Source organism: Homo sapiens (assembly GCF_000001405.40).
Source record: "Homo sapiens chromosome 14 unlocalized genomic scaffold, GRCh38.p14 Primary Assembly HSCHR14_CTG1_UNLOCALIZED".
Taxonomy (NCBI): Eukaryota; Metazoa; Chordata; class Mammalia; order Primates; family Hominidae; genus Homo; species Homo sapiens.
Genome location: NT_113796.3, coordinates 39,703 through 57,974, shown reverse-complemented (window position 1 = coordinate 57,974; position 18,272 = coordinate 39,703). Strand labels below are relative to the sequence as shown.

The following is an 18,272-nucleotide window of genomic DNA, read 5'->3' as shown; positions in this document are numbered from 1 at the left end:
CACTGATCAAGTCCCCACTGACCATGTCTTCCTAACCAGGCCCACACTTAATAGGCCTCATGGGCCAGACCCCACTGACCAATTTTCCACTGACCTGGTCCCCATTGACAAGACAGGGTTCCCACTGACAAGACCACAATTTACCAGGTTGCTGCTCAACCGACCCCCCACTGAACAATTCTCCATGAACGAGTACCCAGCTGACTGAGCCCCCTCTGACCAGGCCCTCACTGACCAGGCCCCAAGCCACTAAGGCCCCACACTGACCAGGCCCGTGATATATTGTGTATGCCCCACCAACCAGTTTTTCATTGTTTATGTTCCAACAGATCAGGCCCCAGTAATAAAGCCACCACTGACTAGGTCCCCCCACTGACCAGGCTTCCAATGACTAGGTCACCAGGTCCCCACTGAGGAGGCTGCCACTAACCAGGCCCCTGCTGATCAGGTCCCAAATGACCAGGTCCTGATGACCAGGTCATCTCTGACCATGGTCCACTGACCAGGCCCCAGAGCAACGGGGTTCAAAGTCTCATTACAATGTCCCCCTCAGCTCATAGACCCTCCCTCCCTGCATGTGTGCCCGGAGGTCAGGCCCTGGGTTTTTTTTTTGGGACGTGGCCTTTCCTCCAAGACACAGGGAGAGACAGTTGGCCTCAGGCTCCAAGTTCCCAGCTCCACACTCACCCCAAAGGCCCTCTGGGCCCGTCTCAAAGGAGAAAGTGAGGTGGCCTGACACTGCCTGGACACACCATCTACCCTATTCCTGAGTGTCAGAGTGTGAGGAAGGGAGGGACATTTGGCAGATAAGGCACGCTGTGCTGTTGGGTCTCTCAGGGCCCTTCCCACAGAGCCCCGATCTAAAGACACAACACAGAGGCTACAGGAAGACTAATCCAGAACCTCTGAGACAGCCAGGGACCACATGAGTACTCTCCCCAGACAGCCAGAAGTCCCTTTGCTAGTTTCTTGGTACTTCAGTGGATGTGGCAGTGGTTCTTCTGTTGGGGACCAGTGAGTACACACTGGGGAGGGCTCACCTGTGTTTCCTCAGTGGCTCCACCTCTGCTTCTAAAAAAAATGACTCATTCCAGAGCTGGTGCAGAGAAAATACAAGCTGAGCTTAGAACATCTTCTGAAAGAAAGTAAAAAAGTGCCGACAGAGTAATGGAGACAAATCAAAGAGACATAAAGTCAGCTTGGAATGTCTACTACTGGCCTAATCTTGGGGAATTGGAGCATCAGAATCATGAGCTTTCTTTCTCCCTTATTTATTGGTTTTATTTCTCCATGTAGAACAAAGAAGAGAATAAGAAAATAATCATCTGGTAACCATCATAGTAATAATTGTTCAAACACAAGTCATCCATGAAATGCTAAATCTAGTGGGTTCTGAGGAGTAACCAGATATTTACAGAGCCTCAAAGTATCTCCATACAAAATACGGTTGAACTACAAAAAGAAAATTGTAACATTAGCATGGACAAACCTGGCAGGTACTCCTTAACTCTCCTAAGTAATAAAAACTGTAAAATGCAAATAAGCCTTCGATGACATTTACTAACCTTTACTAAAGTATCAATGATGACTTGGTTGTTTAAACAGCTGAAATTTGGGCAATTTGAGTATGTCAAACTCAATAATACTGGTTTTCATTTGCAAGATCCACTTAAAACTTAAGGAGGCCAAAAAACATCATTTAAAATATCCTATAAATTATAATCATACATATGATACAAAAATATCCTACTTCAGTAAATATTGGAATGTTATATATTTTATGAGAAACAATTAAAATGTGTAAATAGCCCAGTAATAAAGTTTTATAATCTTTTAAATCATCATAGAATTTTTCCTTAAGACTTTATGGTTAAATATTCTCTTCATTAGATGTGGCTTACCCGTGGATTCTAGAGAAGAAAGTAGATGGGAGCAAGTGTCCAATACAGCAACAGCTGGAAAGAAAAATAAAGAATTTTGTTCTTTACCTAAAACACTTCAGTTAACTAAGAGTGAGTTTAAAAACTAAAGACTTGAGAACTTTATCAGAGTTAATAAGAATGAGAAATATGTATGTACATTTACAATACAAAATTACTATTTAATAATTTACACATGGCATTAATTCTAATTGTGTTTAAATATCAGAGCTTTTTCAGTCTTCATTCATGTAATCAACAGCCACATGCTAAGGTACTAGAACCAGCACTGGAATTACAAGATGAAGATGGCATGGTCCACCTCTCAACAGTCATAAGCTATAACCTAAAAAACAGACAGGCAGGCAATGTCCATATAGAGTCATAGATACCATGACAGGTATACAGCAGGGCACTACTGGAACACAGAGAAGGGACATCTACCCACTTTTATGTCAATATCATGGGCTTTCTGGTGGAGGAGATAACATAGGTTGATACCTGAAGGACAAGAAAAAGCTTCCCAGATAGAGGAAAGAGGCAAAGGCAAAGAGCCTGAGGTGAGGAAGAGCCCTGCAGAGTTCCACTCCATCCAGTTTGGTGCTAGAGCAAAGGGCAGAGTGCAGTAAGTGGTGAGAAACAAGGCTGAGTAACTTGGCAAGAATTACATTGACATGGGTGTTTTTATTTCATGGTGAAAAATTTGGAACTTTTCCTGAGAACAAGTGTAAGCCAATGACACAGTAAATTAGAGGAGATTTAAAATGTCACCTGTCAAGTGACTGCTTATGAAGGGTTATTGCTCAGCTAAGTATTTCTGAATGAGTCTTAGGTCTGTTGGCCTTCAATCTCTACCGAAACCCTGAGAACTTGATGATGCTTTTGTTTTCTGAGAATCGTTTCAGTGTGCTGGCTGACAGTTCCATGAGGATGGCAAAACTTAAGAAAGTGTAGAACCAGTGAAGAAGAGATGCACAGACTTCTTGGGAACTGTTTAAGCTTTGGAACATGATGAATTTATGGTGCATAAGTGCAGTCTTCTCTGTGAAAGTTTTTGTTTTCACATCTTTCATTAGATGTGTGTAAGAAAAAATATTGATGTAGTATCTACTAACCCAAGAATGAAAAGGAATGCCATTTGCTATTTACACTTTATTTCTAAAATAAACCTAAATTTAATTAATAAATTTTGTCAACGTACTTCTCTTTGTTTCTCTAATTATTTATTCTACACAGTCCAGCCCCATCTAAAATAAGTAAAAATAATAATAATGTCTAAATTAAACAAGAAACATTATCATGAAAATCATGTATCACTTACAAAATGTGGCCTTTAGTATTTTTAGTGACTAGACATTACTTGAAGTTTGCTTAAATAGAAAAATAATCACATAAATAAAATAAAATTTCTACTTATTTTAAGTTTAGATAACAGAGGATGTATATGTGTAATGCTGTTTAGAGTAATCTGACAAAAATGCAGTTAATATTGATCTATTGCATATACATGATTTTAGAAAGGTAGTGTTTTATTAGTACAAAGGTTAAACAATGGCCAGGCATGGTGGCTCATACCTGTAATCCCAGCACTTGGGGAGGCCAAAGCAAGCAGATCACAAGGTCAGGAGATCGTGACCATCCTGGCCAACATGGGGAAACCCCATCTCTACTAAAAATACAAAAATTAGCTGGGCGTGGTGATGTGCACCTGTAGTCCCAGCTACTTGGGATACTAAGGCAGGAGAATTGCTTGAAGCCAGGAGGTGGAGGTTGCAGTGAGCCAAGACTGCACCGCTGCACTCCAGCCTGGTGACAGAGTGAGACCCTGTCTCACAAAAAAAAAAAAAAAAAAAAGATTAAGTAATTAAAGCCATCTTTTGCAATGAATGCATTGCTTTGAAATTCTTAGAAAACTCTGCCCTTTATAAAAATTTAATCCATTTTTTACTTCAATAAATTTTATCTTAAAAAGAAATTTCTGTTCTCTACTTATAGGAAACTTTTCTTTTTTTTTCTAGTTTGTATTCTAAATTAACGTGGTACCTCTGTAAATTTCTTCCAAAGGCATATTGAGGGATACCGAGGTTTGCAGTACAATTAAACCCATCACACAGTTTGTGAGCATAGGACCCAAGAAGTAGTTTTTCAACCCTGGCCCACTCTGTCCCTCCCCGTTCTTATTTCCCAGTGTCTATTATTCCCACCTTTATGACAATGTGCACCCAATATGTAGCTCCCACATGAGTGAAAACATGACATATTTGGTTTCTGTTTCTGCGTTGGTTTGCTTAGGAGAGTGGATTCCAGCTGTATTCATGTTGCTGCAAATGATGTGATTTTGTTCTTTTCATGGCTGCATAGTATTCCATGGTATATATGGAATTTTCCAATCTACCTTGGATTTTCAATCTACCTTGGATGTACCTGGATTGACTCCACGTCTTTGCTATTGTGAATAGTGCTGCAATGAACATACATGTGTATACATCTTTTTGTTACAATGATTTATTGTCCTTTCGATATACCCCTAGTATAGTAATGGGGTTGCTGCATCCAACAGTCATTCTTAGTTCTTAATTTCCAAACTGCTCTCCATAGTAGCTGAATTAATTTACATTGCCACAAACGGTTTGTGTTCCCTTTTCTCCACAGCCTCCCCAACATCCTTTTTTAAGTTTTTATTTATTATTTGTTTTTAACAAAAGTCATTGTGACTGATGTGAAATGGTATTTAATTGATGTTTTGTTTGGCATTTTTCTGATGATTAGCAATGGTAAGCATTTTTTAATGTTTGTTGGCCACTTATGTGTGTTATTTTGAGAACTGTCTGTTCATGTCCTTTGCCCATTTTTAATGGTCTTATTTATTTTTTGCTTGTTGATTTGTTTAGGTCTCTTATGGATTCTGGATAATAGGCGTTTGCTATATCCATACTTTGTGAATATTTTCTTCCATTCCTTATGCTGTCTGTTTAATCCCGTGATAGTTTCTCATGCTGTGCAGAAGCTATTTAGCTAAATTAGATCACACTTGTCAATTTTTGTTATTCTTGCAATTGCTTTTGAGGACTTAGCCATAAATTAATTGACAAATATGATATCTAGAAGAGTATTTCCTAGGTTTTTTCCAGGATTTTTATAGTCAGAAGATGTACTCTTATGTAAGGAAAGCACAAACCTTTTTTTTTGTTTTGTTTTGAGACAGAGTCTCCATCACCAAGGCTATAGTGCAGTGGTATGATCTTGGCTTACTGCAACCTCTGTCTCCTGGGTTCAAGTGATTCTCCTGCCTCAGCCTCCTGAGTATCTGAGATTACACATGCCTGCCAACACGCCTTGCTAATTTTTGTATTTTTACTAGAGACAGGTTTCATCATTTTGGCCAGGCTGGTCTCAAACTCCTGACGTCAGGTGATTCACCTGCCTCGGCCTCCCCAAATTTTGGGATTACAAGTGTGAACCACCATGCCTGGCCAACCACAAAGCTTTTAACATAAAAAGGGAAATGAACATTTTAGTGTTTTGTTTAATTCATAAAATGCAATTATTTTGGATTCTACTAAATAATAAACATCCATATGTGGCAAAGTGTTTGGATGCTAATCATTCAGTTGTGATTATGGGTGGGAAGAATTGAGATGGTGCAAATAAACTTTTTTAATTTTTTTTTATTTTCAAGATGGAGTCTTGCCCTGTCACCCAGGCTGGAGTGCAGTGGTGCAATCTCAGCTGCTGCAACCTCCGTCTCCCAGGTTCAAGCAATTCTCTGCCTCAGCCTTCCTAGTAGCTGGGATTACAGGTGCCCACCACCACACCAGGCTAATATATTTTTTTGTACTTTTAGTAGAGTTGGGGTTTCACCATCTTGGCCAGGCTGGTCTTGAACTCCTGACCTCGTGATACACCTGCCTCAGCCTCCCAAAGTGCTGGGATTACAGGCATGAGCCACCACACCTGGCTGGTGCAAAGAAACTTTAAAAGTGGCATGGGCTGGGTGCGGTGGCTCATGCCTGTAATCCCAGCACTTTGAGAGGCTCAGGCAGGCAGATCACAAGGTCAGGAGTTCAAGAAGAGCCTGGCCAATATGGTGAAACCCTGTCTCTACTAAAAATGCAAACATTAGCTGGGTGTAATGGTGGGTGCTTTTAGTCTCAGCTACTCAGGAGGCTGAGGCAGGAGAATCACTTGAACCCGGGAGGTGGAGGTTGCAGTGAGTGGAGATGGCACCAAGACACTCCAGCCTGGGTGACTGAGTGAGACACTGCCTCAAAAAAAAAGAAAAAAAAATGTGGTATGAACCACAGCTAAACTACAATCAATTAGAGAGTAAGCCAGAGCATCTCAAAGTATATCATCAGTTATCAGGCAATAACATGCAATTTCTAAAACCTAACTTAAATGCAGCTTTTAAAGACATTTCAATCATGTCAGTTTAGTCACATTTATTGAATAAAGTTAGCAAATGGATATCTCTTGAAAATGAGAGCTCCAGGGAATTAAAAAATGTAAAGTTCCCATTTCCTTTCTGTGTTAACACAGCTAATTATGATCTTTACTTCACATGCAAAAGTCAACAGAACAACTCAGTATTTCACCAAATTATAAACAAGAATTACGCTAGAGAAATGAAACCCTAAAGAGAAACGGTCATATAACTAACCTCAGTCAAGTAGTTCTGGCAGTTATTTGAAGTCTGAGGTTTGAAGTAGGAATTCTTACGGGCATTTGGGGAATATATTTTCTGTTGAGTCCTATACTAGTAAGATTTTCAACACAAGGTGACTCTCGACCTCACCTTGTAGGAAGAGTGCTGAGAAAATATTTCACCTGCTCTTTCTCCATAAAGAGCTGATACTGATCATTGCTATTTTCTTATTCGATCTGTAAAGGTAGCAAAGACAAATGCTTAATATTTCATTTTTCCTTAAATGATTCTTAATGACTTGCAGTTTTTAAAAACTTACCCTGAGAGTAAACCAAATTACCCACTAAATAGTGTTTTCACACAGAAGATGTGTAAGAGCATACCTGTTGTAAGGAATTATAATTTTAAAATCATTCTAAAGAAGCACCATTGTTTCTAAGGTGATTTCTACTGAACAAGCAGTTCAAACAAAGTAGACAGGGAAGAGAAATGGCTATCAGTGATGTATGGCTCAACAGGTAAAACTTCCTGCCTTCTAAAATGGCTCTACTTGGAAGATTCTGAAGATTCCATTAGAAATACTTGTATTTAAAGGGTAATAATGTGGGAAAATGAATATGTTGATTTGCTTGATTATAAGAACCACTTCACTAGAAATAATTATATCAAAACATCATGTTGTACTCCTTAATGTAGGTTAAGAAAACTAAAATGAAAGAAAAAAAATCTAGGAACACTTGTGTTTAGTAAACCAGTTTTAGATTTCACTCTTGTACACACCCATTATCTAGGACCAATTAAACATTTGGCACTGAGGAATAATTCAGAGCAACAACTCCTAGGGGAGAACTAGATTGTCTGGTTGGTGATCAAAAAGAACTAAAGCATCTCTGAAGGCAATTAGTCCCCAACACTGTGACCAAGGCCCTGGAGGTGGGGCATGTTCTTTCTGCCTTCCACACACCGCTTCAGGCTGAACAAGGTGTTATTTTTTAACCGCTTTGTGAATTACACTTCTTTAAATTCCTGTGATAATTATTCCCTATTTCACAAGGGTGCCTTTCTGTAACATCTTGAATATGTTACACAAATAGTCTTTCTTGAGGCACCCTCTGGTGATAATACTAAAGATCACAATCAAAAACAATTGTGCCCAGAGTAGCAGTACCACTTTGCATTTAGGTTGTGATCCACTGAAAAGTAAATTAAACACATTAATATTTCTATTTAGGGAAATTCTGACAAGTAATTTTATAACAAGATCACTTCATTAATTATAAAGCTTCAAAAATACTTAGTGAAAAAAACTAACAGATCAGGTTAATTATATGAGACTTTTCAGGAAAAAAAGCCATACAAAAGCAAAAAAAAAAATGAGAGGAGAGACAAAAACTATCTTTGACTAACATTTTAAAGGTAAAATTATTTACTCACGTTATTTTTCAAAATTACATTGTCAAATTAGCATTCACTTCCTTCTAATCTCCTGAAGCCATCTCACTAAAAATTATGCTTTTGAAACAAATTAATGAGCTTAATTCATTTTCTATGAGTGTATGTTTTGACTTACTTAGTTAATTTTTTTGACATGGAACTGTTAGCTTTCAATGCTGCTGCAAAGGCTTCCTTATATTCTTCTAACTCAGTTGTAACCTCTTCATAAGCAGTTTTCATTTTGTAGAATTTACAATCCACATCTTTAAGTGTGAGTTCCTTCTTATTTAGTGAAGCTGTATGATATCCTTGTTTAACTGCTCTAATTGTTTTTTATATTGTGCTTGTTCCTAAAACAGAGGAAAAGAATACACTTTTAAAACAATTATAACCTAATTATTATGTTTGTTGCCTTTCATTTTGAGTCAGCGATTCAAAGAGTATTTTTGAATATGTTAAAAAAGAGGATGAAGTTTAAAATATTTCAGCAATATCAAAACTAATAACTGAATTCAGAATTAAGTCTGATTTGTAAAAATTTGAAATCATAATTATGCTAGTATTAATGTAATCTGGTCATATAAAAAGTAATAGAATCCATTCATAGTTTTAAAAAGTGATCAATGAACACTGTAGCTTAAGACCAATTCATAATTATCACATAATTTCTAAAACACAATTTTTTCCTATGCCAACTGGTCTTAATCATCAAATGACTCCATAATGAGAATCATTACTCTGAAAGATTGATTTTGTTATAATAATAATGGAAATTTAAATATTTAAAAGAAAAAACAGATACCATTTTTTTCTAGAACTCTACAAAGCAGATTGCTACAAGAGAGGCAATCTCTTTATATATATATATATCTCCAAAATATAATTTGCAGTGAAATAAATGAAAGCACATTACAAGTAAACTTACCTGATTTAAACAACTCACCTGTAAATGGATTTCTTCTAATTTTTCTACTGCCTGCATTGCCCTTTCATCTAGCTCTGATTTATATTCTTGTAGTTTACTAAGTTCTACCATACTGTTTTCCATATGTGTCTTAAGATTTAATATTTCTTCTTCCAACATCTTTTTATCTTCCTCAAGTTTTTCACATTCCTGTTGTACTTTTTTCATAGATAATAACTCCTGTTGAAAAACTTGATTCTCTTTAGCCAAATTGACACATTTTGAAGATACAGCTTCCTTCTCCGCCATAAGATCATCAAACTGCAAGAATAAAATAGTATAACTTGATAATGAAGTAGGCTGAGAATAATCTAATACAAAACCAATAGCAAATTTTGAAATGCATTTACTTGCAATAAAATGTTATCTGTAATGCAGCAGATTCTTCAAATGTGAACCCTTAAATTACTCAGAATTTTAAGAACAAAGTTAAAGCTACCATGAGTCATAAAAATATATTCTTTACTATCATCATCTTTGCCACAGAATTTTTGTACTTAATTTTACTTTTATTTTTCTGATAATTCATTTTTGTTCCTCCTTAAATGGCACAAAGTTATCTCCTAGTAAAAAGTGTCTAACCCCCTTCCTTCATTATCATTCCCCACAGTATGTCAAAAAAAGTTTCAGAGATATCATATTGAGTTATTTAGGCCAAAGTCAATAAATGGGTCTAGGAATAAGACTTTGAAAGTGATATTACACTCTATATTAGGCATGGTGGCTCATGCCTGTAATCCTAGCACTTTAAAAAGCTGTGGCAGAAAGATCACTTGAGGCCAGGAATTTAAGATCAGCCAGAGCAACATAGTGAGACCCCCATCTCTACAAAAAAAAATTTTTTTTAATTACCCGGGCATGGTGGTTCATGCCTGTAGACCCAGCTAGTTGGGATACTGAGGCAAAAGGATGGCTTGTACCCAGAGTTCAGGGCTGCAGTGAATTATTATCACTGCACTTCTGCCTGGATAACAGACAAAGACCCTATATCAAAAAACAACACAAAATAATGAAATCTATGATTAAGGATTCTGATGCTATAAGCCTTTCCTTAAACTGCAAATGTTTCATGCTAATTTGAATTGCATTTTAAGAAGTAATGATTCTTGGGGTAAAGACCATAGAATACAGCACCCAGAAATAAATTCACATATTTCCAGCCAACTGATTTTGGACGAACATTCCAAGAACATACGCTGGGGAAAGGACAGCCTCTTCAAATGAATGACACTGGGAAAACTAAATATCCATATGGAGAAGAATGATATTAGCTTCCTATGTAACACCATATAACAACATAAACTCAGAATCGATTGAAGACTGAAATGTAAGGCCCAAAATTATCAAACTACTCTAAGTAAATATAAGGAAAATGCTTGAGGACATTAGTCTGCACAAAGATTTTTATGGGTAAGACATCAGAAGCATAGGCAAACAACAAATCATAGACAAAAGACACTACATTAAGCTAAAGAGCTTCTGTCCAGCAAACAACTGAGTGAAGAGAAAACCTGTAGAATAGGAGAAAATATTGTCAAGCTATTCACCTAATGAGGGACTAATATACAAAATATACAAAAAAACTCAAACAACTTCACAGTAAAAAAAATCTGAGTTTAAAATTGGGCAAAATATCTAACTATACTTTTTTTTAGAAAAAGAAATACAAATAGCCGATAAATAAATTTTAAAATGCTCAGTATCACTAATCCTCAGGGAAATACAAATCAAATCTACAATGTGATATAATCTTGCTTCAATTTGAATAAATTGCTGTCATTGAAAAGACAAAAAAAATAGCAAATGCTGGTGAGGCTCCAGAGAACAGTAAACTCTTACATGCTGTTGGTGGGAAGGTAAATTAGTGCAGCCACTATAGAGAACAACAGGAGGTTTTCTCAAAAAAACTAATAATGGGACTGCCGAGGGATCCAGCAACCCCACTACCGGGTATTCAGGCAATAGAAAAGAAAACAATAGATCAAAAGGATATCTGTCCTCATATGTTTACTGTAGCACTATCCACAACAGCTTGTGTATGGAATCAACCTACATGTCCATCACCAAATGAATGGACGAAAAACTGTGGCACACAAACACAGTGGAATACTATTCACCATATAAAGGAATTAAATCCTGTTATTCGTGGCCACGTGGATCAGTCTGACGGATGTTATGTTAAGTGCAGACACAGAAAGATAAATACTGCACATTCTTACTCATGTGTGGGAGCTAAAGGAAAATTGAAGGCTGGGCAATATGGCTGATGCCTGTAACTTCCTCGCTCTTTGTAAGACCAAAGCAAGAGAATCATTTGAGGCCAAAAGTTCCAGAGCTCCCTGGGCAACATAGGGAGATATCTCTACAAAGTCAAAAATCAGACATGTGCAATGGTGTATGCCCATAATGCCAGCTGCTCAGGAGGCTGAGGTGTGAGGATCAGATGGGCCCAAGAGTTTGAAGCTGCAGTGAACTATGATCAAACCACTGTCTCCAGTCTGGGTGACTACAGTTGCCCAGAGCCCAGACTACACTAGCAAGACCCTGTCTCTTAACAAAAAAAAGCTCACAGAAGTAGGGGAGAGGAGGCTGGTTAATGGATACAGAATTACAGTTAGATAAGAGGAGTGAGTTCTGGTGTTCTGTGGCATTGTAGGGTGAATATGGTTAACTATGACTTATTGTATATTTTTAAAAAGCCAGAAAATTTTGAATGTTCACAATTCAAAGAAATGAAAAATGGTTGAAGTAGTAAATGTGCTAGTTAGCTTGATCATTACACACTATATACGTGTATAAAAATATCACTCTATAGCCCATAATTATGTATATATGTGTCAATTAAAACAAAAGAGAAGCTACATTCATCCCATTTAAAAAACAGAATATGGGCCAGCCTTACTGACTTCCTTCTAATGAGTAGAATGTAGTGAAAGGGATACCATGTGGCTTCCCTATCTCAGACTGTTTTCCCTTGGAACCCAGCCCCAATTGTGAGAGCCATCAGGCCACAAACAGAGCCTGAAAGTGCCTGTGTCAGTGTTCATGCTGCCTGTCCCAACCAAGTTTACAGCCGATGGCCAGCATCAACCATCAAACAAGTGGGTGACCAAAGCTTCAGAGGATTCCATTTCCCCAACTGATCAGCTGTTCCTAGGGAAGCTGAAGGGAGCAGAGCAAGCTGTCCTGGCCAAGTTTTTCCCAAACCACAGGTTCATGAACAAAATAAATGTTTTTCTTTCAAGCCACAAGACTCTGGGTAATTGTTAGGAAAATAAGTTTTAAAAAGAGACAACAGGAAACATAACTTATGCAGCAGAAAAGAGTCTCCTTTAAAGCAGGATCTAATAAAGGTTGATATTTATTTATTGATGTCAAACATTATTGAGAAGCAGTAGATAACCAGGAGAGAGACATAAGCTGCTGAGGAGGAATTTTCCTAAAACAACTTCAATTATGAACTCTGATAACAAGGCAAGGGTGTCTTCTTACAATTTCCCCTCAAGTTAGGAAGTAAGACTGGGAAGCAAGAAGATGTATGATTTGAAAAACAACTAGAAATACTGGGTGACATAGGCAAAATCAGACATTTACCTGATTTCAATTAACTAAAATTCTAAAAGAAGAAGTTTTGAGTATTTATTAATCAACCTAGTATTCAATTTTCATTTTCTTTTCTAAATGAGGAAATAAGGAGAATATTATGGAATGATTTTTATTCTTCACAGAAGTAAAATAAGCATAGTGTGTTTTGAGTGTTAAGACACAAATGCAACTTCTCCTTTACCTTACTCCAAGCTTGTTTGTATGGAGAAGTTAAGACCATCCCATTTCTATGTTATGCCACAATGCTTCTCTATAGCACACAACTTGGCTCTGAAATTTTGAAAGTCAAAATACTAATCTACTATGTGTCTCTGATAAATTGCCTGAACGTTACCTGATTTTGAAGTGCTGCACTCCTAAGACTTTTTCTTGGAATGAGTTAAACGTTTTATTCCAAGAATCCTCTACTGAGCTAGAAAGCAGAGCTGTGCATCTCTGTTTCAGTAAAAGGAGGTCAATATAGGGAACTGTGGTTTCTGAGAATGCAAGATCTGCACTAATAAAAGGATTAGCCACAGTGCTACCCAAGAGAACCAGCTACCAGGAGGAAAGAGGGTCTGTAAACTGCAAGATGATGACTTCACTTGATTTCCACTGAGGAAAGCTGGTGGCTCAGACTTAAACTTCTCCTTCCTAGATGGTAAACATCTATGGAAGGTTCTATGAATTATAATGAGTTAGTAAAACATAATGCACTGAATATTAGACTATGTCAGCAGATCCTGTAACCAAAACTTTCTGAAAATATAACTATAGTGGGAGGCAATGGAAAAGAGACTAAAGGCTTGAATGGAGAAAAAAAGAAATTAAGTGTGTCTTGTAAGCCTGGCGTCTGATCATGTCTTAGAGGAAGTAAGGTATAAGCTGGCCAGAGACTCCTTTGTGACACAAAAGGTGAAGTTACAGACATTCCACTAAATTTAATTTTTATTATGACATAAGACAACTGGTAATATGCAACATGATTGAAAAAAACTTCTCATTCAATTCGATTGGGCCTTGACATAAGAATAGACATAAACAAGCTAAGAATTGACAATCTAAAAATAAGCCTGCACTTTTACAGTCAATTGATTTTATACAAGCTTAACAAAAGAACAAAATGGGAAAAGAATAGTCTTTTCAACAAATGGTGCTGGGACAACTGGGTATCCATAAGCAAAAAATAAATAAAGTTCGACCAAATATCATATTTAATAATTAACTCAAAATAAAACAGTTAACTGTAAAAGCTAAAACTATAAAACCCTCAGAAGAAAACACTGGCATAAATCTTTGTGACTGCATTTGCCAGTGTTTTCTTAGCTATGACTCCAAAGGAAAAATGGATTCAATGGACTTCAAAATTGAAAACTGCTGTGCCTCAGAAGACAGCATGAAGAAGTGAAAAGGTAAGACGCCAAGTAGAAGAAAGTATTTGAAAAGCGTGTATCTGATAAGGGACTTACATATATAGGAAATATAAATAACTCTTGCAATTAATAAATAACAAGATAAGCCAATTTTAAAAAATGGGCAAGGATTTTGAATAGATATATCTGCAAAGAAGATATAAAGATGGATAAGCACATTAATAGATGCTTAATGTAATTAGTCATTAGGAAAATGTAAATCAAAACCACATGTGGTATCACTTCACACCACAGGATAAAATCTTTGTTCAAGAAAAAAGAGTGTTAGGAAAAATGTAAAGAAATTAAAACCCTTATCTAATGCTGCTGGGAATGTAAAGTGATGCAGCCACTTTGGAAAACAAACTGGCAGCTCCTTAAAGGGTTAAGCATGAAGTTACCATATGACACAGAAATTCCAGTCATAAGTATATACTCCAGAAAAATAAAAACATACGCAAGCACAAAAACTCATACATAAATGTTTACAGCAGCATTATTAATAGTAGTCAAAAGGTGGAAAGAACCAGAACGTCTGTCACCTTTGGCTGGGAGAGAACCCAAAGGTCCATCACCTGGCGAATGGATAAATAAAATGTTTGATGTATCCATACAATGGAATATTACTCAGCAATAAGAAGAAATTAAGTACAGATACCGTATTAGGAGGAGACAGCAAAATGCCTATGCAGATACGGAAGGGTCCCCGGAGAATCTCCAACGAGCCCCACAAGTGTTTACACCAGATGTTATGTGCAGATAAGGGAACCTGGACTTGTCTTGCCTGGACATGCCCACAGCAGACTGGAGGCCCACATGCAGTGGGGGGATGGGGTGGAGTCACCAGGAATTCACACCTTATGCAGAGGAGGAGCCTGGCCGCTTCAGCTCATGTGCTCCTGGTATTCAATTGTGAGGTGGAAACCTCTTTGCAGGACCCCTCTCTTTGCTGAGAGCTGTGCTTTCACATAATAAATTCTGCCCTCCTCAATGTGTCTGCATGCTTAATTTTTCCTGGTCACGAGAGAAGAACACAGATGTAGCTGAACTAAGGAGCAAAAACCCAGCATCAATACCTGCTACAGCACAGATGCAGCATGAAAAATTATGCTAAGTGAAATAAGCCAGTCCCAGCAGACCACTTGCTTTTTATTTCAGAGGCTTATAGGCAAATCTATACAAAGAAGGTGGGTGGTTCCCTAGGGCTGAGGGAGGAAGGGAAAACTAGTGAAGATGGCTAAATGATGTGGGGTTTGTTTTTAGGGTGATGAAAATGTTCTAAAATTAATTGTAATGATGACGGCATAACTCTCTGAAAATACTAAAGTTAATGAATTCTATACTTTAAATGAGTGAATTGCATGGCGTGTTCATTATTTCTCAATAAACCTGTTACCCCCCACCCCAAATTAATTTGGTACTAGAGATCTGCAGATAGGTACTGCTTGGTTTCAAATCACTGGCCAGGGTTCAAGGTCTAAGAGAATCAACAACATGTCCTTTTTATAGAAAAAGAGATTTATATTTTACAAGCTATCCTTTTCATTAGTATCAAGTCTGTAAAATTCAATGAAAAATCTTTCTTTCGCTGCTTAAAGCACTGACAGATTTATATAGAGGAATAAGACCTTGTTTTCCTTGGCCCCAATTTCTATCTAAAGGGTCTGGGAAACACACCCTTCAAACTATCAAATCTCATCAGATGGGTTTTATTAACACTTATAATATGGCTTCCTTTCTAATCTGATTCTGGTGCAGCATCACAGAGAGAAGAAGCTGAAGGAAATCAAAATATTTTACCCACAAATATATTTTTTGACGTATTTTGAAATGGCTGCTGCAGGGCCAAGAGATTGAAATGGCCCTCATTAAGGTAGCCCAATCTCCCCTTCTAGGTCTTTCCAGATCTGGGGAAGATTAACTAAGAGCCTGAGGCATTTAAAGTTTGAAAAGATATATTTACCCTCTATTTTCTCAACATATTTTGGCAGAATTTGGATTTTTCCATTATCAATATTTTCCAAAATGCATGATTTTTAATACCAAAACTGATTTAAAATTACCATACGTTGGAATATAAATTATTCTATTATAAAGATACATGCATTTGCATGTTCACTGCAGCACTATTCACAATAGTAAAGACATGGAATCAACACAGATGGACATTATCAGTGATAATGGGATAAAGAAAATGTGGTATATATACACCATGGAATACTATGGAGCCATAAAAATGAATGAGATCATGCTCTTTGCAGGGATATGGATGAACCCAAAGCTGATATCTTCAGCAAACTAATGCAGGAAGAAAAAACCAAACACTGCATCTTCTCACTTATAAGTGGGAGCTGAACGATAAGAGCACATGGACTCGGGGAGGGGAACAACAAACACTGGGGCCTGTTGGGGTCAGGAGGGAGAGCATCAAGATCAATAACTAATGCCCACAGGGCTTAATATCTAGGTGATGGATTGATAGGTGCAGCAAACCATCATGGAACACGTTTACCTATATAAGAAACTTGTTGGCCAGACTGGTCTTTAACTCCTGACCTCATGATCTTCATGCCTTGGCCTCCCAAAGTGCTGGGATTACAGGTGTGGCCACCATGCCTGGTGGCTATTTCTCTTTTTAAATTCTCTCAGGACTCCTAAAATCTCAAAACTTTGACCTAGATTCCCTAATCTACATTTCCAGCTCTGACCATTTTCTTGAGGTCTCTTCGTTCTAGTACACATATTATAGAAAATATTCTCAACCACATGCTCATACATTGCTAATTGGTGCAGATTACTTTTGTAGATAGTGAATGTTGTCTATTTTATGTTGGTTCTCATTAATGTTACTTTGAGTATACTGTTATTTTCTAATCTCAAAGGGGGGCTATCTCACTGTTATGATACTAACCAGTATACTTTGTCCTTTTTTTCTTGCTTTCTTCTTTTTTGGACCAGTATACTTTGTCCCTTTTTTGTTTTTCTTTTTTCTTTTTTTTGAGATGGAGTCACACTGTGTCATCCAGGCTGGAGTGCAGTGGCACCATCTCGGCTTACTGCAACTTCCACCTCCTGGGTTCAAGTGATTCTCCTGCCTCAGCATCCCAAGTAGCTGGGACTACAGGTGCACACCACCAGACCTGGCTAATTTTTGTATTTTCAGTAGAGACAGGGTTTCACCATGTTGGCCAGGCTGTTTTTGAACTGCTGACCTCAGCTAATCCACGCACCTCAGCCTCCCAAAGTGTTGGGATTACAGACGTGAGCCACGGCACCCAGCCCTCTTTTTCTTTTATGATGAAAACTTTCCCATGAGAATCATATTATCAATTGTTTGCCTTTGTTTTCTTTTAAAGAAATTCCTTTTCCATAGAGATATGGCATGATGAAAGTCTTGTTCTAAAGTTTCTTTTGGGGGACACTTAACTATGTCATTGGGAAGCTTCAGTAAGTAGAGAACTCCCTTCTTCTCACTCAAGATTCTTCATCTCAAAATGGTGTCCACCAAATGTCTTAATCCAGGTAGTCTTTTGTGTAGAAATTCATGAAATAAGAACCTTCTCGAGAAGTTGGAGGCTAGTGATTGAGATGGTTTAACGCTGCCCCTTATTATATGTTTTACTCCCAAGGTAGACATCAAAGTGGCTAATAATTCTATGACTGATGTCTAACTCACTTCTATGGGAATCTATACAAAACGTTTTATTTATGAGACAGAGTCTCCCTCTGTTACCCAGCCTGGAGCGCAGCGGCTTGATCACTGTTCACTACAGCCTCAATATTCCAAGCTCAAACGACCCTCCTACCACAGCCTCCCAATGTAGCTGGGACTACAGGCGTGCACCACCATGCCTCAGATAAGTGTTTAATTTTTTTTTTTTTTTTTTTTTTTTTTTAGAGACAGGGTCTCACTATATTGCTCTGGCTGGTCTCAAACTCATGGGCTCAAACGATCCTCCTGCTTCAGCCTTCCAAAACCAGGTGTTTAACTGGGGACTAACATGAAACACTTAGAAGACTACGTGGAACATAGTGAGCTACATAAAATATTTGCTATTAGCATAATAATTTTATTGTATATCTTAACAAAATTGTGTATTTTAGGCAGGTGGCATGCCAATGGAAGTACTCTCCTATAGCTGCACTGAATCATTCTTACCACTGAGAGTTGCAGCAAATGGGGGACATAATTTATAACTTACTTTTCTCTCTGTATGACTCATTAGGCAATGACTATGTATGTACTACAATGTAAACAGCACCTTCTGGATTGAATAGTACATAACTGACATGACCAGCAGAGACAGGCTAAA

General features: G+C 37.6%; 2 long non-coding RNA genes across 7 annotated transcripts in view, besides 1 other annotated feature; one reads left to right on the top strand and one right to left on the bottom strand.

The window, feature by feature from the left end:
- LOC105379271 (uncharacterized) overlaps positions 1-18,272 on the top strand; it is a 114,785-nt gene that overhangs the window by 66,873 nt on the left and 29,640 nt on the right. Inside the window, exon 3 of one of the 6 annotated variants that reach the window (XR_001756096.3) lies at positions 18,186-18,223. The exons of 4 other annotated variants lie outside the window; for them this stretch is intronic. This is a non-coding gene — a long non-coding RNA (uncharacterized LOC105379271). Of the gene's footprint in view, positions 1-13,862; positions 14,117-18,185; positions 18,224-18,272 lie in introns of those variants that run through there. One more of the 6 variants, XR_949084.4, reaches the window with a different exon arrangement.
- On the bottom strand, positions 1,151-14,691 carry LOC105379272 (uncharacterized). The gene is made up of 5 exons (XR_007068488.1): positions 14,618-14,691; positions 8,942-9,223; positions 8,135-8,348; positions 6,715-6,800; positions 1,151-1,955 (listed from the first exon to the last, which is right to left on the bottom strand). It is a non-coding gene; the product is annotated as an uncharacterized LOC105379272 (long non-coding RNA).
- Positions 7,270-7,771: an enhancer, noted in NCBI's record as "NANOG hESC enhancer chr1:143393020-143393521 (GRCh37/hg19 assembly coordinates)". NCBI's record gives its function as "activates a minimal SCP1, AML or CMV promoter by ChIP-STARR-seq in primed H9 embryonic stem cells {active_cell/tissue: H9 hESC(primed)}" and the evidence as "EXISTENCE:reporter gene assay evidence [ECO:0000049][PMID:30033119]".